This window comes from Homo sapiens, chromosome 20 (assembly GCF_000001405.40).
Source record: "Homo sapiens chromosome 20, GRCh38.p14 Primary Assembly".
Taxonomy (NCBI): Eukaryota; Metazoa; Chordata; class Mammalia; order Primates; family Hominidae; genus Homo; species Homo sapiens.
In genome coordinates, this window is record NC_000020.11 from 59,640,557 (window position 1) to 59,665,707 (window position 25,151).

At 41.7% G+C, this 25,151-nt stretch overlaps 1 protein-coding gene across 10 annotated transcripts in view; it reads left to right on the top strand.

The window, feature by feature from the left end:
- The window catches only part of PHACTR3 (phosphatase and actin regulator 3), a 270,203-nt gene that overhangs the window by 63,048 nt on the left and 182,004 nt on the right, over window positions 1-25,151 (top strand). Inside the window, exon 1 of one of the 10 annotated variants that reach the window (XM_017027627.3) lies at window positions 22,618-22,881. The exons of the other annotated variants lie outside the window; for them this stretch is intronic. The gene's annotated coding sequence lies outside the window, so the exon portion shown is untranslated. Of the gene's footprint in view, window positions 1-22,617; window positions 22,882-25,151 lie in introns of those variants that run through there. 10 annotated transcript variants of the gene reach the window in all.

Below are 25,151 nucleotides of genomic sequence, written 5' to 3' on the forward strand. Positions count from 1 at the left end.
ATCTGCACAGCCCTGCTCATTATGATGACATGGGCATGTGCGTGACTGTCAGCTCTTTGGTTTTCAAGAGAATTTGGAAGTCTAGGTTTCCATGCATCAAACCAGTAGTAGAGAAGGCAACCATGGGGAGAACCTAAGTCTTGTTTCTAGAGAGATCATAGGGTTGTAAATTTTACCTTGCATCTCAGAGAAGGGCAGTGCTATTTTAGATTAGGGAGGTTGCAAAGGTGATGAACTCCAAGAACACTGACAAATACCATTATCATTGCAAAAGAATCTTAAATGTGTCTTTGAAAAGCAAGCATTTGGCTTCTAAGTTGTAAAAATGGACCAAAAATGAAGCAGTAGAGTAGGGACTCATAACCAAGTTTATGCCATTATTGTTACAGGTTTCTTTTACTGTGTTTCTCTCTATATATATGCACATCTATATAAATATAGATACATAGATATATGGGGAGAAGATATAGATAGAGATAATGTATGCATATATATACATATTATATTTGTCTGGGTTCTCCAGAGGAACACCATCAATAGGATATAGAGATTTATCTATTGCCTATCTATTCATCTATTTATCTATCTACCAATCCATCCATCCATCCACCTCTGTTCATCTATCCATCCATTATCGTATCTATCATCTATCCATTCATCCATCCATGTATGTATGCATGTATGTATGTCTCTCTCTCTCTATCATTTTCATCCATTCATCCATTGTCTGTCTATCTGTCTATCTAGATGTATTAGAAGGAATTGGCCTATGTGTTGTGGAGTCTAAAAAGTCCCAGCAGTCAGCAAGCTGAAGACCTGAGAGAGCCAATGGTGTAGTTCTAGTGCGAGTTTGAAGGCCTGAGAAACAGGAGAGCTAATGGTGTAAATTTCAGTCTGAGTCTGCAGAAGACTGATGATTCAGCTCGAAGACAGATAGAGAGAATTCTTTCTTATTCCGTCTTCCTGCTCTATTCAGTCCCTCAATGGATTGGATGAGGCCCACTCATGCTAGGGAAGGCCATCTGCTTTACCCAGCCTATTGATTCAAATGTCAGTCTCATCCAGAAACTCCCTCATGGGCACCCAAAATAATGTTTCACCAAATGTGTGGGCACCCTCAGGCCCAGTCAAGTTGACACATTAAAGGAACCATCCCATGCATATCTATAGATTGTGTGTGTATGTACATTTGTGTATATATAATATATAATTATCCTGTTAAGGATGTCTCACAGCCTTGAGGCAGAGATTAATTGTGACCTGGTGGTTTCCAATGTTTCTGTATATACAAATAAATTATGCAGCAATGATACCCTAGTCTCATTTTATTAATTGCTCTTCTATTAGTCTGTTTAAAGTCAATTAAACCTCCCAAGGCCCCTCACGGAGGAACCTCTCACAAAATCAGTCTCTGTCACTTAGGAATCCTGAGTGGATGTCACATGGCTGTCCTAGCTCCTGGGGAGGGTGCAGACAACATCTCTGTTGGAACTCCTGGGTCTGTGGGTGATCATTGGCTTGCATTTTGTAGTGGCATGGCCCGTGGAGGTCCGGATGTAGAGAAGGCAGCCTTTCTGCAGAGCGTTAGAATTTGGGAAGAAGTGGTCAGGATTAGAGAGGAAAAAAAAGACTTAGACATGGACAAGGATGCCACCCCAGCTTACCCTTCCTCTAGTTTCCTGGACTTTTGCAGGGTTCGGTGGATAATTAGTTATTTGCTTGCTTGGTTGGTATCTGTTCACTTTTATTTCTTTTAGACTTTTTTTTTTTCTGATTAGAACAAAAATTATATTTATTATTGAAAATTCAGAATACATAGGAGATTATCAAGAACATCAAAAGCATTCACAAATCCCCCCACCCCCACCCCAGAGATAACCCCTGTGGCTACTTTTGTGTGTGTTCCTCCAGTACTTTTCCTATAGAAACATTTTTCCCGTGTCGGGATTGTTCAGCCTATATCCTTTATTAAATTAATACATCAGAAGCTTTTCTCCACACTGCTTAGGACACTTGGGACCAAATGCTCCAGAATAGGAATTTGCCACCATTTATTTTCCCATTCTGCTTTCATTGGAAACTGAGTCTGGCTTGAGGCTTTTGTTTGCTTCTTTCTTGCTATAGTAATTGGGATGGACTTAAGGCTGCCTGCCTTTTTGTGTACATCTCTGATTATTTCTTTAGGCTAAATTCCTAGAAGCTGGAACCCGGGGCAGAAGGAATGAAGATTGGAAACCCTTGGTGCATGACAGCAACTTGCTGTCCTGCCAACATTGGGGCGTTTGCCTACAGAAAGAGCTCTCTGGTTGAATCAAAGAATTTTAAGAATTTAATTCTTCTTCTTGTTTTTTGTTTGTTTGTTTGTTTGTTTTTGAGACAGAGTCTCACTCTGTCGCCCAGGCTGGAGTGCAGTGGCACGATCTTGGCTCACTGCAAGCACCACCTCCCAGGTTCACACCATTCTCCTGCCTCAGCTTCCTGAGTAGCTGGGACTACAGGTGCCCGCCACCATGCCCAGCTAATTTTTTGTATTTTTAGTAGAGACGGGGTTTCACCATGTTAGCCAGGATGGTCTCGATCTCATGACCTTGTGATCCGCCCGCCTCGGCCTCCCAAAGTGCTGGGATTACAGGCGTGAGCCACTGCGCCGGCCTAATTCTTCTTTTAAAAGTTGGGGATCAGAGTAAGGTGAGAAGGTATCCTGCACAGCATCAATGCACACAGCGCACATTAAATGAGTGCTATTCCACTTCATTTGTAGTATTTTTTTTCCCATTTGTAGGAACTACTTTTGTGCCTGACTTCCTTGTTCCTTTAAATGAGCCTTAAGGAAGTAGTGTTGGGGGAATTCAACACACACAGAGCAGTTGGTCTTTATTATGATTTTAAGCATCTTGTTTTCATGTGAGCACCCCAACTTTGCCTTTTGCTAAATTTTGCAACAAGTTTTGAGTAATTCTGCACAAAACAGTGCCCTTGCTCCAGGAGGAGAACAGACATTTGCTCGTTCTTCACAGGATAATTAGACTCTAAAATTAGAAGTCAAACACTGCATGTTAAAATGCATCTGGATAAAATCCCAGTGGGAGAATTAATCCTTCTTGGCAGTGCAGGGGAACTTGGGTGCACGCCTGATGGAGCGGCGAGAAGCTGAGAGGGAGTGAGGCAGCCCCTCTGTGTGGAGTGTTCAGGGCAAATGCACGGGTGCTGGTGACGCAGTCCCTTTACTTGTCTAAAAGTATTGGATTCTAAGTGAAAAGGGGGGTGGGGATAGAAGGCCTTCTGCCTCGCCTCCTGTAGTCACAGTTTGGATATCCTGTGAAAGTAGCACTTAGGCAGGCATTCGGTCCTGCTTGGCGTTGTTTGGTGGACTTGTTAGAGAACACTACTGACTGTGTTTGAGGAAGGAGGTGGAGCAGAGGGCTCAGGGCTTAAGCGGCATCTCCTCAAGGGCAGCAAGAGACCTGGAACGTTCCAGAGTAACCCCTGCCTGCATCCGTCGGACTTGCCAATACACACTGAGAAACTGCTAAAGGTTATGGATGCAATGGAGGCTTCTGGTATAGTGGGGAGGAAAAGCCTCCATTATGAAGTCAAAGGCCATTGCGTGCCTGCAGTGTGCGACAAGAGCTAGTGGTTGCAGCACCCTGATGGGCAGAAGCTTCCCTCACAGAGCTATGGTGATGGAGAAGGCAGCTGCAAATCAAGTCATTACCAGCAAGGTTATAAAATTATTTGATTGCATTTCGAAGTGAAAAACAGTTTTGAATTAACTTCTATTTGTTGTGATATAAACAACAGATATAAAAAGATATAAAAGGAAATAAACAGTGACCATGACATTGGTTGTTCAGTTTCAACACTATCTTCGGGTTCCCTGGTCCTTGTCCTCCCTCATTCGCCTCCCCCACCACTGAATTGTAGACTCCAACAGGGGGCGGGAGCTGAGTTTGTTTTTGCTCCCAGCTGGGACTCCAGGGTCTAGCACTGGCCTGGTGCTTAGCAGCCTGTAGCAAGTATGTGTTGAATGGGCAAATGTATCCTTTGGCGGTACGAGACAGAAGCTGGTGGTCCTGTGCTGCCTGTGGCCAGAGCACTTCCAGCATACGGGGCCAGGACACATTTGCCCTGGTGTCCCAGGTTGCTCCAGGCACAGGCTGCACCTCCTGGGGGCTCTCCCTGCACCAGCCTGGTGGTTCTCTGTCGCTTCTCCTGCACCCTGCGCCTTCCCTTTGTGTCACATCCCTACCTCATCGCTACTCATTTGTTGGCCAGTGTTTTTTTTAGAGGATCTCTTTTTATAAAATTTCAGTTTTTATTTTAGGTTCTGGAGGTACATGTGCAGGTTTGTTACCAGGGCACATCGCCTGATGCTGAGGCTGGGGCTTCTGTTCATTCTGTCACCCAGATAGTAAACATAGGGCCTGACAGCACGTTTTTCAGCCCTTGTCCCCCTCCTTCGCTCCCTCCCTTTCTCTTTCGGAGTCCCCTGTGTCTGTTGTTCTGTATGTTTGTGTGTACTCAAGATTTAGCTCCCACTCATGAGTGAGAATAGGCAGTATTTGGTTTTCTATTTCTGCGTTAATTCACTCAGGATAGTGGCCTCCAGCTGCATCCATGTTGCTGCAAAGGATATGATTTTGTTCTTTTTTATGTTAGCAGATCTTTTTTTTTTTTTTTTTTTTTACCCACTCTCTGATTCTCCATGCATCATGAGTCCCCCAAAGGCAGGGCTGGGTTAACCTCCCTGGGCCCAGAGAACAGGTGCTCAGTATTTTTAGAATGAACAAAAGTTCTCTTGTGGAATCATGAGGGAGGTGGAGGGAGGAAGGAAGGAGGGAAGACCTCTGCCCTGGCTCTTTCTCCTGCCTGAAACAGCCTCCCTCAGATCCCAGCCTGTGGCGCCTTTCTCGTCACGTGTGTGTCCGCCCCACACTGCCCTCCCTGGCCTCGGAGGCTAAAGCGCTGGCCCCTGCCAGCCTGGACCTCTCCTCGTCCTGCTTGATTTGATTCTGAGCGTGCTCATCACCATCTGGACATATGTTATTCACGCACAATTAAATGTTGCTTATATTGCATATAAAACATAAATTTATATAATGATATACATGTACATATGTGTGTGTGGCGTGTGTGTGTGTGCATATCCCTGTCGACACCACCAGAATATGTTTTAATGAAACCGTCATGTTTTAATGAAAACAGAAAGCCTTCTGTTTCATGTCGTGACGCTGGAATGAAAACAGTCTCTCCCAGCATCTAGCTCAGTGCCTGGCACATCATGAAAGCTTAATAAATACGGCTAGAATTAATGAATGAGTTTCTTTCCCCTCCCCTGTCCTGTATTTTTAATAAGGCTGTTGAGCCTGGGGCCTCTGCCCTCTGCTGGTCACTATCATCACACAGCCTCACTCAGGAGGCCCCTGGCCCCGTTCTGCCTGGAGTGTTGGCAGGTGGCAAGGGTTGTAAGCTCCTGCCCAGTCCCGTGGGCAGTTCTAGGATCTTACCCCCAGCCCCTGCGATTCTGAGGGGACGTGTCAGTCATTCAGCCTCCAGCCAGTCCCTGGGGATGTCTGAGGGAGGAAGTAAGGCTCAAGTCCCCTGAAGTGGGCAGCTCCTGTCATCCACAGCTGCTGCTTGTTAGTGGGAGCCCTGGGGCCCTGGGTAAATGTCCTGCCAGAGCTGGGCTCACTCTGGCCTCCTTTGTATACCTGGGGGCAAGGTTTAGCTATTCAGCAAGGGCTGTTTTAAAAAATTGGGTTGGTTCTGGATATTATAATACCTTTTTATAAAAGACCACGAAGAAAACTACATTTTCTTGGTGACTTTTACAATAGGAGCAAGTTAAATTTTCTTTCTTCACTGAGTTGTCATTGTTGCCTTTTTTTTAAAATCAGTTTTTCCCTGTCAAAAGAAAGTACCTTACCATGTGATCTACTGAAATATAGGAGTTACACTGAACGAAGTGAAAATGAAGCTTGTTTGTCAGTCCTTCCTGCTGACTTTCTCAATCTGGGCCCAGTGTACCCTGGGAGGCACAGCCAGAGCCCAGGGAGTGAATCCGATTGTTCAGTAGATGCAGTTCCCCAGTTCAGGCCCTGCAACTACCAGTCCAGGCCTGGAGGGGAGCATGCATCCCCCAGGAACATGACTCGGAGCTGGAATCTGACTAGGCATAGGAGTTAATTGGGCCTGAGGCAGGGAGGGTGCTGGGAAGAACATTCTAGGGAGAGCAGACAGCATGTATGCATGCACACATGTTCTGTGGCAGAAGACTGTGTGAGTGTTTGGGGAGGTATGAGTGACTCTGAAAGGGTTTTTCCCAGTGGAGCACAAAGATGCCCGTGTTGTGGGAGGAAGCCCAAGGTGGGACCAGGCAGGGCTCATTAAAGGGATTTTTGTCTTTAAATGAAGAGCACCAGGAAAGCCTCTGAGGATTTTAAACATGGTGGTTGCAGTCGGGCAGATCAGCTTGGCAAAGATTTGATGACTAGGGTATTAGTCTGTTCTCATGCTGCTAATACAGACATATCTAGGACTGGGTAATTTATAAAGGAAAGAAGTTTAATGGACTCCACAGTTCCACATGGCTGGGGAGGCCTCACAATCATGGCGGAAGGCAAAGGAGAAGCAAAGGCATGTCTTACATGGCAGCAGGCAAGAGAGAGCTTGTGCAGGGAAACTCCCATTTATAAAACCATCCAATATCGTGAGACTTACTACCATGAAAACAGTAGGGGGGAACCACCCACATGATTCAATTATCTCCATCTGGCCCCACCCTTGACATGTGGAGATTATTACAATTCAAGGTGAGATTTGGGTGGGGACACAGCCAAACCATATCAACTAGCATGGAGAGGCCAGTGTGGAGTTTAGGGTACCAGGTGGAAGGCCCCCTGAGGTTGGGGAGGGTGGTGCAGGGCAGCAGGTGGCAGCCAGGCCCTTGGAGGTCCATTGGCAGGACTGAGCAGCAGGGTGTTGGAGTGACATGCAGGTGGGGGTACAGTCCTCTTCATTCTTATTCACATCTTTTCTGTTGATCCCTTTCCATCTCTTTCCCCACTAGTTTCCTGTGTTCTTTTGATCCACAAGCTCCACATTTCCTGAAAGAAATGAATGCCATTATTATCACATACAGCCACACACACACCCTGTACAAACTCATCTCCCACAACGCCCAACTCCCTAACATGGTTGCCTAAATCAGAATTAAGCTCCCTGGATTCAGGTCCCAGTCCCACCCTTAATGTGCTTGTGAATCTCAATGAGGTGCTTGGCCTTTCTTGGCTGGGTTTCCTCATCTGTGAAATGGGGGATTTTGCACTGTTTTATTTTTCTACTTTTTGCCAGCCTTGCAACTTTCCATAGGACTTTGCTTCATCTAGACTGTTGGTGTAGGAAAACATCCTTTTGGTTAATGGATAGATGTTATAGGCTAGGTGCCTTCCCTCCAGGAGGTTCCTCATCTTATTAGTGAAGATTCTGTAGTTGCATATGGCTTTAGTTGCTGTTGAGAAACCTACCCAGACTGGCTTCACCATCAAAGGTATTTATTGACTGACACCGTTTTGTGATTAGTCCAGGGGGAGTTTGGCTTCAGGCCCATTGACCACAGGGTCTAATTATACTGTTCACCATTGCTTCTCGTCCCTCTCACTGCCTGGTTCTCTGCTGGCCTGCTGTGAGGCCACATTTCCTTCTCCTCTGTTCCCCCAGGCTCCAGCCATTTTGAGGAAGGAGGTGAGTTTCTCTTTCCTATTAGTGAAGAATACCAAAGCTGTAGGAATCATATCTTACTGGCCTGGAGGTGGTCAGCTTCTTTAAAATCACATGGCCTGATTGGGCAAGGGGTAGGTCCCTTGAGGGAAATCAAGGTGCTGAACCAGAAAAGGTGGTGATGGCAATTGGGTAGGAAAAAATAAGTCCATCTCAGAGTCTTTAAAAAACATCTTTAAAATCTCCTCGTGATTTCTTAATCAGCAAGAGGGTGGCTTAATCTGTTTATCCCAGAGGCCAGGGATGGAGGGTCAGGGAGGGGTTGACCTTCTGGGGCTGATGATAGCATTTGTTTTTCTTCCCAGTCCAGGCTTACGCTGACCTTGGTACTTAAGGCAGGGCCTGTCCTTTCCTCTGCTCAGCAACATCCATCACTGCCATGTCCTTTTGGCACTAATTAAAGAGGACACACTTGGATTAGGAAAATGATGGATTGGGTTGATGTGATTTGATGTGAGGTGGAGTGAATAAGTGACAAGCTCGCCCTTAGAGAAACCACCTCGGAGTAGCCACAGGCAGCCTGTGTCCCCCATAGGAGGGACTGGGACAGCTTGGCAACCACCTACCCCAGAACACCTGCTAGGAGGAGAGAGTCCTGTTGTTCCGGCTTGGGAATGTCTGTGTTTACATGATGAGGCTGGGAATATAGGCATCGAAGCATCAGTTTCCTTTGCTCCATCTAGATCAGCGTTGTTGATGGATGAGTATGGTAAAGAGTTGGATGATTTTCCCCCAGAGTTTCCATGCTGGACAATTGTTTATTTACTTGAGCTAATTACTGAAATTTTTTTCCATGACTTGGCCTAATATAAAAAAAGACACTAATGAGAGTGAGGTTTTATGGTAAGCAAATTGAAAAGCAAATAGCAAATAACTCATCTATGAAATAGTTATAAGAAAAGTTATTATGGTAATGGTTAGGGCAAAACAACTCTATTTAATTCTTGATGCTTATGGAGATTCCAGCCAAGATATGTGTATTTTCCTTAAAAAGATTTCTTTAAAGCATGTGTCTTAATTTAATCCTGTTATACACAGGCACATCTATTAATGAAGTAAATTCAACAAAGAGTTAATTATAAATAGCAGCAACATGTTTTCTTTCTTTAAATATTGTATATATTTCATGTTGTAACTCGGGGGATAAATTATACTAGGTGGATTTTGTGGTAATATAAAGGACGGTTGGAATTTTATTGAGTATTTACTTTTATTTGGTTTTGAAGAAGAGCTTCTCCATACCTCAGACTATCAAAAATCATTCTGTTAGAGTCACAGAAATTCCAATTAAGAGCTTAGATGCCAATACAGACTGATTATTTTGAAGACTTTTTTCAGTTCATGACTCAGTTAATATTCAGTGGTGTATTTTCTGTAGTTTAAAAGTATCACTGATAAGTTGGGAGTATGCCTTCCATATGAGATACAAATTGTCCCTAACCACTCAATCAATGTTTACTTTACATGTTAAAAATAAGAAACTAAGACCTCATAATGTGGTTTTAAAGGTTCCTGTTTTTTGCCCTGAAGGTCCAAAGGTAAATTTGGCACATTTGTCAAAATATAGATGAATAATTTATAGATGTGCATCCATTTTATTTTTATAAGTATGGAAATAGATATAAAGGGATTTGCTGGAAGAATTTCTTTTGGCAAATGAGCAAAAAATTTAACTATAAAGAATGAAATACTAGGCTCTAGATATAAAATAATATTCACAATGCAATACAAAATGTGCAGGCATTTTTGGTCATATTTTCTATGACAGGTTTCTTAGAAATCTGTGTTTCTACTATGAAACACATGAAACAAAGAAATATTTATACATCAGCAGAACTATAAATTCAAAAATTCAGAGAAAATTCCAAATGGGTGTGATGTTGATACTTGCATTTTTCTCTAAAATTAATAAGGTATGTGTGTATATATCTGCATATACCTATGATTCATGTAAAGGGTTGCAGATACAAAGATTCTAAGTTCATAGGTATAAGAATAAATATATGAAGCTGTATCCTGTCTTTTGCATTATATTGATTGTTCTCGTTGGGGGGAGGGCGTTAATTTTAAAAAGTCAAGTGAAAGTAAATTTTCCCATCAAAGGAAGGCACTATTGCTTTCAAACATCATCATATTCAATACAAATTAAAACAATGAACTACTGTATCTACCCATCAGACTAGCAAAAATCAAAGCATATAACAATGGCAAGTGTTGCCAAAGGATGGAGACCTGCTGATGTTAGTGTAAATGGGTGTGACCGCTTTGGAGAGCAATATGACCTATCCCGTTGAGCTGGGGACACTATGACTCAGCAATGCTTCTCCAGGCCTTTTCCCTGGAGAAAATCACATTTGTAAGTGGCAAGAGAATTATCCAGGAATGTTTTCCAATGCGTTGATAGCAAAAAAAAAAAAAAAAAAAAAGTCTCAGGGGTTGGGGGTGGTGGGACAGACCGTTGATAGTGGAATGAGAAATCGTAAACAAGAAGGATCTACCCAGAAGTTGCCCTAGTTGTTACCTCTGCAGTGTGGCAGGGTTGGGGGCTATGATAGGGCTTCTGAGGTGACTGTGGAGGCTTACATTTGATCTATAATGTTTTGTTTTTTTCTTGTGTCTTTTAACAAAAAGAAAACCTGATTTAAGCAAGATGTCAAGATGTTAATCTTTGTTAATTCTGGCTGTTGAATGCATGAATGTTGTGTGTGTGTGTGTTGAAACTGTTAAAAAAAAATCATCTTTGGGTTGACCATGGTGGTGTACACCTGTAATCCCAGCACTTTAGGAGGCCAAGGTGGGAGAATCATTTGAATCAGGAGTTCGAGGCTGCAGTGAGCTATGATTGCACCACTGCCCTTCAGCCTGGGTGAGAGTGAGACTTTGTCTAAAGTAAAAAATGTAAATGAATAAATACATCCTCCCATTACATTACATTTTCTAAAGTAGCGTAACTTTTCATGTCAGAAACTAGAATAAATTAAGTCACTGAATCATGTAGTAAATTATGAACTATTGCCTCTATAGTTGGTTGCCAAAATGGCCTGCCAGTGTCTATTAATCAATATAAAATATAAAAATAGAACATTTAAAAATTAAAGCATCATGTTATATTGCCATTACCAGCTAGCCATATGAACCTTATGGAAGGAAATCTGGCTATATTTAGCAAAATTACATAAATAGTCCCCCTTTGGACCAGTAATCCCACTTCTAGGAATCTATCCCAAAATATCTTGGCAAATGGTAAAATAGCACACAGGCAATGGTATTTGTTTTGCCATTATTCATTATAGCAAAGTGTTGGAAACAATGCACATATCACGAAGAGTGGACTGGCTGGATAAATAATGGCATAGCCAGACAAAGGGGTATCGGAAGACAATAAAAGAAATGAGCGTGTTCTCTCTACTCACATGGAAGTCATCTCCAGGATATATCATAGTATTCATTAGTCAGAGTTTTCCAGAGAAACCCAACCAACAGGATCTTTTTGGTAGGTAGGTAGGTAGGTAGGTAGGTAGGTAGGTAGGTAGGTAGGTAGGTAGATAGACGGATAGATATGGAGATACATACAGATATAAAAGGAGATTTATTATGAGGAATTGACTCAAGTGATTATGAAGGCTGAGAAGTTCTACAATCTGCTGTCTGCAAGATGGAGCTCCAGGAAAGCTGATGGTGTAATTCTAGTCTGAGTCTGAAGGCCTGAGAACCAGGGGAACTGGTAATGTAACTTCCAGTCTAAGGGCAGGAGAAGGTCCCTATGCTAGCTCAAGCAGGCAGACAGGAAGGAAAAAAGGCTGACTTCCTCCTTTATCTACCTTTTTGTTCTATTCAGGCCTCTATCAGGTCGGATGTTGCTCACTCACATGAGGGAAGGCATGTGCTTTACTGAGTTCACCAATTCAAATGCTAGTCTCTGATAGATGTGGTGGCTCACACCTGTAATCCCAGCACTTTGGGGTGGGGGCACCTAGCAGGGAGGATCACTTGAGGCCAGGAGTTCCAGACTAGCCTGGGAAACATAACAAGACCCCATCTCTGAAAAACAAAAGTAAAAAATTAGCTGGGCATGGTGGCACACACTTGTCTGTAGTGCCAGCTACTCAGGAGGCTGAGGCAGGAGGATCCATTGAGCCCTAAAGTTCAAGGCTGTAGTGAGGTATGATTGCACTTTGTGCCACTGCACTCCAGCCTGGGCAACAGAGTGAGACCTTATCTCTTAAAATAAAAAATGCTAATCTCATCAAAATTAGCATTAATCTACTCTATAATTTCCATTAGATTCTTTTAAATAATTAGATAATTTCTGTCTCTTTATTGACATTATCTGTCATCATACCTTCTCTTTCCTCTTTAAGAGTGTACATTTTTTCATCGAGATTAGCATTTTTTAAGATCTGGAAATACCCTTGTAGACACGTCCACAATCCATAATATCATTTAATCTGGAAACCTGTGGCCAGATTGACACATAAAATTAACATCACAATCATTGAGTGAAAAAAAAATCGGGATATTTTTATAGAATACTGCCTTTCATGTAAAAAAGAGATGTGTTCACGTGTGCATTTTCATGTGTGTGTGTACTTAGATTGTTTAAAATAAATGCTGGGAGTAAAAAGCGAGCACTAACGGTTGCCTATAGTGGAGGAAGTAACAGAGGGGAGGGCAGAAATAGAAGTGAGACTTCTATGAGTGTACTTTGTTATATGATTCTGAATTTTAAAGTGTGTAAATATTTTTACATATTCAAAAAATTAAAAGGGAAAATATTCTTATAATTGAAGACAGATGGAAATAATTGAACCTAACTATATATCAAGTTGGTAGCTTAACCCGAGAAAGTAATTTTTTTTTTTTTTTTGAGATGGAGTCTTGCTCTGGCACCCAGGCTGGAGTGCAGTGGCACCATCTCTGCTCACTGCAACCTTCGCCTCCCGGGTTCAAGCGATTTTCCTGTCTCAGCCTTCTAAGTAGCTGGGATTAGAGGTGCTTGCCACCATGCCTGGTTAATTTTTGTAATTTTAATAGAGACGGGGTTTCACTATGTTGGTCAGGCTGGTCTCGAACTCCTGATCCTGTGATCCACCTGCCTTGGCCTCCCAAAAGTGCTAGGATTACAGGCGTGAGCCACTGCACTCGGCTGTGAGAAAGTAATTTCTTTAAGTAACACTAAAACCCAGTATTTTAACTGTATATCCATAGTGGGGTGGAATTTAAGGATGCTAGCATATGTAAATAAAAAGAATCATATATTTCATGATTAGTGTTATTATTAGCTGTAATATGGATGTTATTATTTTGAAATTATAGGACTAACTTGGAGAAAGCAATTAAGCAATATGTTAATGTTGTTATGAATCAAGATTCTTATTATGAAAGAAAAGAGATAAGGTATAATATTTTTTAAAGTTATCTGAAATCCTAAAATCTTACATTTAAATTAGAAATATTAATATTCATGATATTCTTTGCTCTTAAAATATCTATTTCATAACTCTGTCTACTGAAAAAGCCTAAAAGCAGTGAAAACCCTATAGCAACGAACGCTTTCTACACCCAGATTTTGTGTACTAAATACCATTCCCCACTAAAACGAAGCAGAGTTCCTTGGAGAAGTGACTGCTTCCTGGTCTAGGATACTTTATTATGCCAGAAAGCAAATAAGCTATCAAAGGTTAATGAGATGATTGCAAAAGAATTGAATGATTTTCTGCTGGCTAAGAGGAATTGCTTAATACATTTCCAACAGGATAATGACTAGAATTGATTGAAACACATCAGAATTATAAAAATCTGTGCCTTCAGATGGTACTTCAAAAAATAATTGGTCACCGTTGTATATTGCTAGAACACCAGCTCTCTATTCTGAAAGTTGCTAAAAAAGGAATAAGAAACAAGCTTTTATTCTGCCTTCCTGTTTTATTTATATTTCAGGGTAACCAAATAGCTGATGATTGAACGTCTTCTTTATAGAAAAATTTTAATTAATAAATGCAAAAGGAAAGAATGAGAAAATTACCATTTGACAACCCAAATGAAATAACAGGTGTAGGCAATTATTATCAATAGGTGTTAACAGCATTAGGTAACTATCAATGGGGAATTTTATAATGGATAAATCAGGCTGATATAACCTGAATGTACTGATCTCATTTTACCTCTCTAAAGGTAGGACAACCAGAAGTTATATGCCTCCTAATATGTAATTGGAAATATAAACCACTGCCTCTAAAGGATTCTTTCCTAAAAAATTAAGCCTGAATGTGACCAAGCTTTTAAATTTTACTACCAGTTTTCAGGAAATATGGAGGCTAAAGGAACGTGTTAACAAATTGACCAGCTTCTCAAATAAAATATGGAAAAGTCACATCACTCCAGAAATTTTCCCAGTTTACTCTTCGAGCCAATTCCTCCTTAGCTCACAGAGACAATTACTTTCCATAGATCTGTCACCATAGATTATCACATAAGTGCAGTCATACAGTTGGCATTTGTGTGTGTGTGTCTGGATTCCTTCACTGAACATAATATTTTAGAAATTCATTCAGTGTGTGTATGTGTGTGTGTGTATGTGTTGGTTTCTTTGTTTTATTGAGTACTTCATTGCATGAATATCCCATAATTTGTCCAGTCTCTCGTTGCATATTTGTGTTTTTTCCATTTTCTGGCTGATGTAAATAAAGCTTCTGTGAGGATTCTTGTACAAGTCCTTTTGCGGATCTATGTTTTTATTTTAATTGTGTAAATTATAAAAGTGAAATTGCTGGAACATAGGGTAGGTTTATGTTTAAAAAGAACTTCCAAATAGTTCTAAGTGGCATGAGTTCTAGTTGCTTCACACCTTTTTCAAAAGTGAGTGTTATCTTTCATTTAATTTTCCCAGTCAGGCTGATATGAAATGGTATCTCATTATGGTTTTTAAATTTTTTTATATATAGCTTTATTGAGATACAATTCACATACTATACACTTCACACTTTTGAAATGTAAACTTTAATTGTTTTAAATATCTTTCCAGAGTTGTGCAACTATCATCACAATTGGTAGTCTTTGGCTTTCTAGGAGTTTGTCCATTTCATCTGAGTTACTAATTTATTGGCATGCAGTTATTTATAGTATTCCCTTATAATTTATTTCTGTGATATTGGTAGTGTTGGCCCCTTTTACACTCTTGATTTTAGTAATTTGAGTCTTCTCTCTCTCTTCTTTATCAGTCTAGCTAAAGATTTATAAGTTTATTGATCCTTCAAAGAACCAACTCTTTATTTTATTGATTTTCTCTGTTGTTTTTCTATTCTCTATTTCATTAATTTCTGCCCTAGCCTTTAATTCCTTCCTTCTGAATGTTCCAGGCTTAGTTTGTTCTTCTTTTTCTACTCTTTTCGAGTGGAGGATTTGGCTTTTATTTTGAGATTTTTCTTTTAAATATAGGAATTTAGAGCTATAGGCTTCTATTTAAGCATTTCTGTGACTCTGTTTCATAAATTTTGCTTCATTGTTTCTTCATTTTCATTCATCTCAAAGTACTTTCTAATCTCACTCATGATTTATTCTTTGACTCATTGGTTATTTAGGGCCATATTGTTTAATTTCCATATGTTTGTGAATCCCCTAAGTTTCTTTCTGTTATTGCTTTCTAATTTCATTCCATTGTGGTCAGAAATTATACTTTTTATGATTTCAATTATTTTGAATTTATTGTGGTTTGTTTTATGGCCCAGCCTATGATCTGTCCTGGAGAATGTCCCATGTGCATTTGAGAATGTGTATTCTGCTGTTTCTGGGTAAAGTGTTCTATAGATGTCTGTCATATGGTATATAGTTCATTTATACTGTTGTTCATCTTTTCTTTTTTCTCCTTAATCTTCTGCCCACTTATTCTATTCATGAGTGAAAGTGGGATATTGAAGTCTCCGATTTTTATTATTGAGTTATTTTCCCTTTAACTCTATCAATATTTGCTTCATATATTTTGGGGGTCTTATATTAGGTACATATATATTTATCATTTTTATGCCTCCCTGATGGATTGACTCTTTCATCACTGTTTCACCATCATCTCTCTATATCTATATCTCTAGTTTTAGAGTAGCTTTATCTGATATTGGAATAGCCACTCTAGCTTTTGTATGATTGCTGTTTGCATGCTATATCTTTTTCCATTCTTTACTTCAAACTGTTTGTATCTTTGAATCTAAAGTGTTTTCTCTTGTAGCTAGCATATAGTAGTATCAGATTTTTATTCAGTCTGACAGTCTTTACTTTTGTTGGATTGTCTAATCCATTCACATTTATTGTTATAATGGATATAGTTAGATTTGCATCTACCATTTTATTTTTCATTTTCTATATCTCTCATGCCTTTTTTGTTCCTCTATTTTTCCTTTACTGCTTTATTTGGCCTTAAATGAGTATTTTTAGTGTAACATTTTAATTTCTTTAATCATTTTTTAAAAATTTATTTTCTTAGTGGTTGCTGTGGGGATTACCATATACATCTTAACTTATCAGAATTCTTCAGATTCATACTAACTTAATTTCAGTTAGATATAGAAACATTACTCCTGAATAGCATGATTTTTTCTTCTACCTCATTTTTGCGCTATAATTTTATACATATTACATCTATATGCTACAAACTTTACAATACATTGTTACAATTAATTATTACTTTATATGAATTTATGTCTTTCAAGGAAGCTGAGAAAATAAAGAGCAAGTGCTCATTTACAGAGTCTGTTATCTTAACCTTTTAATTTACCATTTCCGGTTCTCTTCATTTGTTCTTGTGGATTCAAGTTACTGTCTTGTGTCATTTTCTTACTCCAATTCATCTTTGCTCCCATATACTTCCTTTGCGTTATTGTCAAACATTTTACATTTCTGTATGTTATAGGCACAATGATAGAAGTGTGTTGTGTGTGTGTGTGTGTGTGTGTGTGTTTGTGTGTTATTTTATGCAATTGTTTATTAAATCAGTGAACAGAATAAAGCAGAGGAAATATGCATTCAGGCTGTCTTTCATAATTACATCATTACCTTTACTGGAGCTCCTTGTTTTGTGTGTGTGTAAATTTGAATTACTGTTTGGTGTCACTTGATTTCAGCCTCAAAACTTTCCTAGCTTTTCTTATATGGCAGATCTTTTAGCAATACATTATCCTATTTTATTTATCTATGAATGTCTTGAATTCACTTTCATTTTTGAAAGATACTTTTGCTGGGCATAACATTCTTGGTTAACAGTTGTTTTATTTTCTCCTTCAGCACTTTGAATATATTTCATCCCACTGCCTTTTGGACTCCATTACTTCTGATAGAAGTCTGCTGTTAATCCTATTGAGGCATCCTTGCAGTGACTAGTCAGTTTTCTCTTGCTATTTTCATGATTTTTCTCTTTGTTGTTTCTCAACATTTTGATTTTTATGTGCTTGGGTGCAGGTCTCTTTGCATTTATACTATTTAGAATTTGTTGAGTACCTGGGATGTATAGATTAGGGTTTTTTCGCACTAAATTTGGTAGGCTTTAGCCATTATTTCTTTGAAAAAAATTTCTGCTTCTTTTTCACTCTTCTCTTATTCTGGTACTCCCATTATACATATGTTGGTCCACTTAATGGTGTCTACAATTTACTAAGCCTATGTTCATTTTACTTCATTCTTTCCCTCTGCTCTTCAGATTGAATAATCTCTGACTGTCTTCAAGTTCAATGATTCTTTTTTCTACCAATTCAACAAAGCCACTGTTGATCCCCTCTAGTGAATTTTGAACTTTAATTATTATAATTTTCTACTGTATAATTTACATTAGATTATTTTAAATAATTTCTATCTCTTTATTGACATTATCTATTTGCCAACATACCTTCTCTTTCCTCTTTAACAGTGTACATATTTATAATATTTTGGACATATTTATAATAGTTACTTTGAAATCTTTCTAAGTCTGACACCTGGGCCCTTTCATAGGCAGCTTCTTTTGAATGCTTTTTTTTAAATGTATTTGTTGCACTTTCCTGTGTTTTTATACATACTAGATTTTTTTCAAAGCTGGACGTTTTAGTAGATAATATATTTTAGCAACTCTGGATACTTGTTTTCTTTTCCTCTGAGCTTGCCATTGTTGTTTGTTTATGTGTTTTGTGACAGGAATAGGCTATTTTAGTGTTTATTTCTACCCACAGTGTGGAGCCTTTGGTGTTACTTTTCTGACGCTGCAGCCTTGGGAGTGTGCACAGTCACCTTGAGATGATAGTAGTTTTAGCATGTGTCTCTTTGACTTCTCTCTTCTGCCTCCTTCCTTAATCTCCCTGTTAATCTGTCTGCCTCTGTTGGTATCATACCAAGCTATTAGGCTCCACTAACTGCCAAATTATTGCTCCATTATTTTTGACAATGTCCAGGGCGCATGCATTCCTCTACAACCTGATCCAGTTAAATTTGAACCCCTTTGCAAAGGTATTTTTTGAGGTCAGTCTTTGAGGTTTGACCAAGAGGGCTCTTCTTAGCTGTCTTGCTCTGATCCTCTCTGATAAACTATCTGGCCTACAATTTAGCTTGTTGCCATCATGGAGCTGTCAGCCTTCTATACCTGTTTTCATGCTTACTTGTCTTTTTTTTTTTTTTTTCTCTGCCTATTCTGTCATTAAGACCATCTAATGAATGTTTTAAATGATAATATATTTTTCATTATAGCATTTCCATTTGGATATCTATTGCAGTTTCCATGTGGTTCATTTTAAAAATCTCTTCATACATGTTTACCTTTCACACACTATTTTTAAAAACTGCTATCACGATTATTTCAAAGTTGTGTGATAATTTCAATAGCTGGGCTATTTATGAATCTTCTTCTATTGTCTGTTTCCTCTTTTTGATCACAAATCAAATGTTCTTGCTTCTTCAGGCATCATAGTTTATACTACATGTCAGGCATTCTGTGTCAAATAACAGCACATTCTTTTTCTTTCCACTTATCAGAGTTGGAACACTGAGTCAGTCGTACCTGTAGATCAGCTGGGTCTGGGACTTTTTTTTTTTTTTTTTTTTTTTGAGACAGTCTCGCTCTGTCACCAGGCTGGAGTCCAGTTGTGCAATCTCAGCTGACTGCAACCTCTGCCTCCTGGATTCAAGTGATTCTCCTGCCTCAGCCTCCCAAGTAGCTGGGACTACAGGCACGCACCACCATGCCCAGCTACTTTTTGTATTTTTAGTAGAGACAGGGTTTCACCATATTGGCTAGGATGATCTGGATCTCTTGACCTCATGATTTGCCTGCCTCAGCCTCCCAAAGTGCTGGGATTACAGGTGTGAGCCACCGCAACTGGCCGGGTCTGGAGCTTTTTGTAGCTTTAGTTTCATTCCATGTATTACCAGCTTCGAGTGCTTAGAGGGAAGGGTCAGGATTTTTCCCTTACCATAGCTTAGGCTCTGAGCACTGAGTGGTTTCTTTGTACTTTATATCTGCAGTACTAGCTTTCTGAACCTTGGAGTGCTTTGACCATGCCACAGCCCGGCCAGCAGATGCAGGGGTCACAGAGAGCTACGTTTGTTTTCTAGTCCCACTGGAGTGCTCCCTCTGCCCTGCTACTCAGACTTTGTAGGGCATCTGTCCTGCCCTCAGTAAAGACTTGCAATGCCCTGGAGAGGTTTCTCCCAGCTGTCTTCCCTGCCCCCAGCCTTCAATAATTGAATGTCCGGAGTTCCCAGGATAGATTTCTCTTGAGTTTCCTCCTTAGCCCCCCACTTTCAGAGGACACTGCCTTTTACTTAGGTGAGGCCCCACATATCTCTGGGGTTCTTGCAGGTTTCTTGCTTTACCTCCAGGAAGACCTGTACAAAACAGTATCCAGTGGTTAAAAACTCACTCTGGGCTGGGCGCAGTGGCTCACGCCTGTAATCCCAGCACTTTGGGAGGCTGAGGTGGGCAGATCACGAGGTCAGAAGATCGAGATCATCCTGGCTAACATGGTGAAACCCCGTCTCTACTAAAAATACAAAAAATTAGCCGGGCATGGTGGCGGATGCCTGTAGTCCCAGCTACTCTGGAGGCTGAGGCAGGAGAATGGCGTGAATCCGGGAGGCGGAGCTTGCAGTGAGCCGAGATTGCGCCACTGCACTCCAGCCTGGGGGACAGCGAGACTCCGTCTCAAAAAACAAACAAACAAACAAAAAACTCACTCTGTGGCTTGGGCTTCTTCACATTCTAATCTGTCATCTGGCCACCAGAATTTCATTAAAGTATCAGCAAGTTTCTCCTTCCTCCAATCTATGGCAATTCCCTGTTATTGCACTACTGTCAGGGGTGAAAGCAGTCAGCTGGCAAATGCCTTAAATAGTGTTTTCTATCACTTCATCTCCATAATCTGGATTTCATACAAAAGTTAGTCATATATAAACACTGAGTATCTACAGCAAGAACATCATTCTCTTGGAGAGCCAGAAAGTGAGTTGTTTTATGAAACATTTCTAATTTAGTCAATTTTCCAAAAATAGGGAAATTATACAATAGTCATTGCCTTTGCCTATGAAAAGTAGAAAGAAGGGAAATCAGGAGACCATTGCTTCATCTGTGGGAAACACTTTCTATTTGTCCTTACATATATTCTTTGTTTTTCCATAATTCTGAGGGATAAGGAAGAGAATGTGGCAGCCTGAATGTCTGTTTGACTGTATCTCTTCACACTGTGATTCTCATTTTCCTAATGTCTGTTTCAGAATTTTAAAGTGGGCAGTGGATTATGCCAGTTTCTAGATCCTCCTATTACCTTCCAGGGAAAGGAAAATTGGATTCGATTCTAGGGGCATGATTAGCAGAAGGGCACGCCCGGGTACCGTGACTTTGTTCTGAATTAAGGAAGTTTGAGTAAGAGAAAGCACTTTTTCCTGCTGGACTGGGCTGCTTGTTGATGGCTGTGCCGTTAGGAGTGTGGAGCAGGATGGTGTTTCAGACAGAGGTCCTGAGCAGGAGAGAGCAGGATGTATGGACCAACGACAGGCCCATGAGTCTGGAAGGTGGGGAAGGGGGGAGCATGCACGTTGCTAATGGAGAGAGCACGTCTCAGAGGCTGCATCCTGGCGGCTTTGTGGTCATTTGTTATAACAGCCCTAGGAGACTCACATACTCTCCTTCACCCTCTCACAGCCATTCCCTGTGAGAACCAGACAGAGTGGCTGAGTTCATCCTGATACTCAATGGACAATGGACAGGACCCCCTTTTTAGGACTTGGTTCTTCAGCCCCATGGCACAATGTGTACCAGCAAATGGGTTTGGCCAGGTCCTCTTAAACAAGCTTCAAAATTGTCCAACTTGGACTTCCACAGGGCTTCTTTCTGTGGCCAGAGATGCCAATACATGTGATTTTCTGCATGCATGTGGTCTTGGCTCCTTGGACTCCAGGTTGGCCACGCAGCGACAGACCTGCCTCTCGGTGGGAGTTCTCAGGAAGTCAAATCAGATGGAAACCTGATCTGTGTGCACGACTGGCTTCGGCAGTTAGGTGGTGTGAAAAATGAAATTTCTACTGGCTTCTCTTGTCCACAGGGTGACCGCTAGTGGCAGGGCTGCTTGCTGCGGCTCCTAATCTCCTTGTGGGATGCCTTGGGTTGGATCAGTTTCTCTTGGCCCCTGTGAAAGGAACTCGCGGTGGAATATTGTATTCGGTGCTGCACAGGAGACCCCATTTAGAGACAGGAAACTTGTGCTTGAAGGGCACTCTTTGTGCAGCTACAGACGATTCATTCATTCCTTCATTTATTCTGTCACCCCAAATCTGTCTGCATCTACTGTGTTCCAGGCACCGCACAGGGCACTAGGATTCTGGTGGTGAACAAGAGGCCGGTCTCACCCTCAAAGGCATGTAGTCTTGAGAGACACAGACACTAGACAAGGAATGACACATGGGTGTATGTGAAGATGCTTAGGATATGGTGGGGGCATTTAGCAGGGAGATTTGACCCAGCTTGGGGTGGGGTGGGGGACACAGAGGCGGATTCTATGAGGAAGCAGCCTTTACCCTGAGACCTGCAGTGGGGGAGCATTCCCTAGATGAGGAATGAGAGGTGGAGAGGAATGTGGAGCAGGATGGTGTTTCAGACAGGGGTCCTGAGCAGGAGAGAGCAGGATGTATGGACCAACGAAAGGCCCATGAGTCTGGAAGGTGGGGAAGGGGGAAGCATGCACGTTGCTAATGGAGACAGCACGTCTCAGAGGCTGCATCCTGGTGGCTTTGTAGCTTTGTGAAGAAAGTGGGATTTTATCCTTAAAACGAAAGGGAAGAAGTTGGAGCTGTTAAGTAGGGAGTGACATGATTTGATTGCTTTTTTAAGAGAGCCCTCTGGAGGAAAAGGGGCTGGAGGGGGCAGGGGGTACAGGGCACGGTGGCCGTTTCTGCAATCGCTGAGGCAGGAGGTGCTGGGGGCCAGTCCTGGGCTGGAAATGGGGAGTGGGTGAGGGAACTGGACTAACCCAGAGTGTTGCATGAGGTGACATTCATGCCACATGGTGACGGACTTCACAGGGAGGGTGAAGGAGAGTATGTGAGTCTCCTAGGGCTGCTATAACAAATGACCACAAACTGGGGGGCTTTAAACCATGGAGATGTGTTCCCTCGCAGTTCACGGCTCTGCAGGCCAGAGGTCTGAAGTCAAGGCATCAGTAGGGCTGAAACCTGCCCTTGAAAGTTTCTGGGGCAGGATGCCCCTGGGCCTCTCTAGCGTCTGGGGGCTGCAAGCCCTGCTTGGCTGCAGCCGTGTCACCGCAGCCTCTGGGCGCCTTCACGTGGCCTTTACTGTGCATGTCTCTGCACATCCTCTCCTCCTCTTAGAATGACACAGTCATTGGGTTTAGGACCCACCATAGGCTAGCATGGTCTCATTTTAACGAATGACATCTGCAAAAATCCTACTTCTAGGCAAGGTTCTGGGTAGACATGAATCTTGGCAGGGGAACTATTCAACCTGCTACAGAGAGGGAGGCGGATTTGCTAAGGATGGCTCCGGCTGGCTGTAGCAACTGGGTGGAGACGTGGAGGACAGACCGACGCCAGCAGAAGGACATCAGGGCCACTGAACCAGAAACACACATGGACGTGTGAGTAAGTGAGGTGACCAGACCTAGTGAGGCCCCCAGTTCTTTTCAGGTTTTTTGTTTGTTTTTAACAAATGAGACTGAAAATGTTTCGGTTCACTCTTACTTAGTGAAAGCCGTTCTTGTGAAGCTGACATGTAGTCCAGCGACAGTGACTCAGGTTAGTAAGGGTGTGTGCTTTTCATGGCGTGTCGACACCAAGCCCTCACGCAGAGCAGGCTGACTGACGATGCCGCGTGCAGGAGGTTCCCTGGCTCTGGGGCCGGCTGACCTGGGCTGTCACCTCAGTGCTGCTGCTTTCGAGCTGTGTGGCCTTGAGGAGGGTTCTGGGCTTCTCTGAGCTGAAGTTATTTCCTTGTGCAACGGAGATGAAAACACTTGGGAACAAGGCTGTGGAAAGACTTATAGCATGGTTGCACGTGCTTGGCAAAGAACCAGTCTGTTTAGCTTGCTTGTTTATTTTACTGAAGGCATTATGTATAACGATTATATTGTATATTCTACCAAACATACCAACAAGAGTGTCCAAGATGTTGATGCATATTGAAACGTCCATGTTACTCTTTAGCATAATTTATTGACAACTGCTTGTTTTCTTGTGATTCTCCCTTTTTCCTAAACACTTATGAGAGAAAAGCCACACTTAACTGTAAGTTCTTACTTATTAAGGATAGTCTTTATTTAGTAGACTGGGAAAGTGGTGGTAGATGGATAAGTAATTAACAAATGGATAAGAAAAATAGTAGGCTTCCCCACAGGAAGGAGATAAGGCTGTGAACAATCCACAAAAGGAGTGAGTGTAAGGACTTTTTAATTTTGAGAGATATTGGATACATAGTTGTTATCTTTCTGTTTTCAAATTCCCCCAGCAACCCACCTCCATGGCCATATCCTTGTTCCTTGCATCAAGCAGAATGGCTCTTCCTCCAAAGTGAACCTTGGGCAGCCTACTCTGGTTACAGTCCTGCCTGCCACCGCCTCCTTGTGACCTTGTCCTCCCGCCCTCCTGGAGGCTCCTCCAGGGCTGCTTCTCGTAGCCGTTTCCTGGTGTGGCTTCAGCCACTTGCTGACCCTGTCTGGGTCCCCAGGATCATGCTTGGCTTCACTCCCCATTGGACCACAGCCTTGACCTTCTCCTACACCTCCCTTCCCAACTCCAGACATCCCCCTCCTGATCCCGGGAGCCAGTGCCTCACTGCTGGCAGAAATCACATAACCAAGCTTCAATACATTTTCCACAGCCTTGGCAAAGGCCAAAGGGCTGCTTGCCAATCCTTTTGTGTATCTCAGTGTGGCAAAGTTGTTAAGACCGTGGTTCAAGTCTCACCTCCACCCCTCACTGGAGGCACCATACGTCTTCTGCCAACCTGCCAGATGCCGCCTTTCACAAGTCAGCCCCTGAAATCTGACATTGTCTGTGAAGCCTTCTGTCTGATTCATCAGACGAAAGTGAATACCCGTGCGGTATCCATTGCGGGCTGGGTGCAGGATTCTCCTGGACCTTTCTGTGATCTCAACCCTCTCGCTGGAATTAGGCACTTGCTCTTGTCTCCTTCCCTAATAGTATACTATGCTTACTTTGCACCTGATTTATTTGGTTTTATTTTATAATCAAATCAAATAATTTATTCCAAGTAGTCTAAATTGAAGTTTTATTTTCAAAACTACAGGCATAAGCAGTCTTTCAGTAGAATACCCACTGTAGAAAAACTTCCTTAACGGTTCCCCTTGTGTTGCAGATTTTCAAGGCTTCACCATTTTCAGTGTGATTACTAATATAGCAGGAAATCCTTCAAGTATGTGGCTCTCTCTCTACCTAGGATTCTTTCTCCAGGACAGATTCTCAGACACGAATGTCTGCAGTTAAATGCCCTGTGCTTCTTGAGAAATGATGCAGAATTGCCATTTGGAAGGGTCGTGCTGACTTGTGATGCCACCAAAGATACTCAAAGGTGTTTGATTTCACTGCACCTCTGTGAGAATTGGGAAATGGGACAGAACATCATCTGGGGATACTTAAAGAACCCGAAGGTCCTTAGCACCTTGCTCAAGCCAAGTAAAATGAATTTTTCATATTACGATTTTTTTTTTCCAGCAGATTTTAAGCTATCTACTTGGGGGCAGAAATAAGAAAAAGCAGATGGTAGGGGCAATGAGGTTGTGGTGGAGTTCGAGGGAGTGATTGAATCTTGGGTGCTGGTTGGAAATACTGCCCATGGGGGTCTGGGTTGAATTGGATGGAAACAACACTTGGAGAAGCCTGCAGAGGGGCTGAGA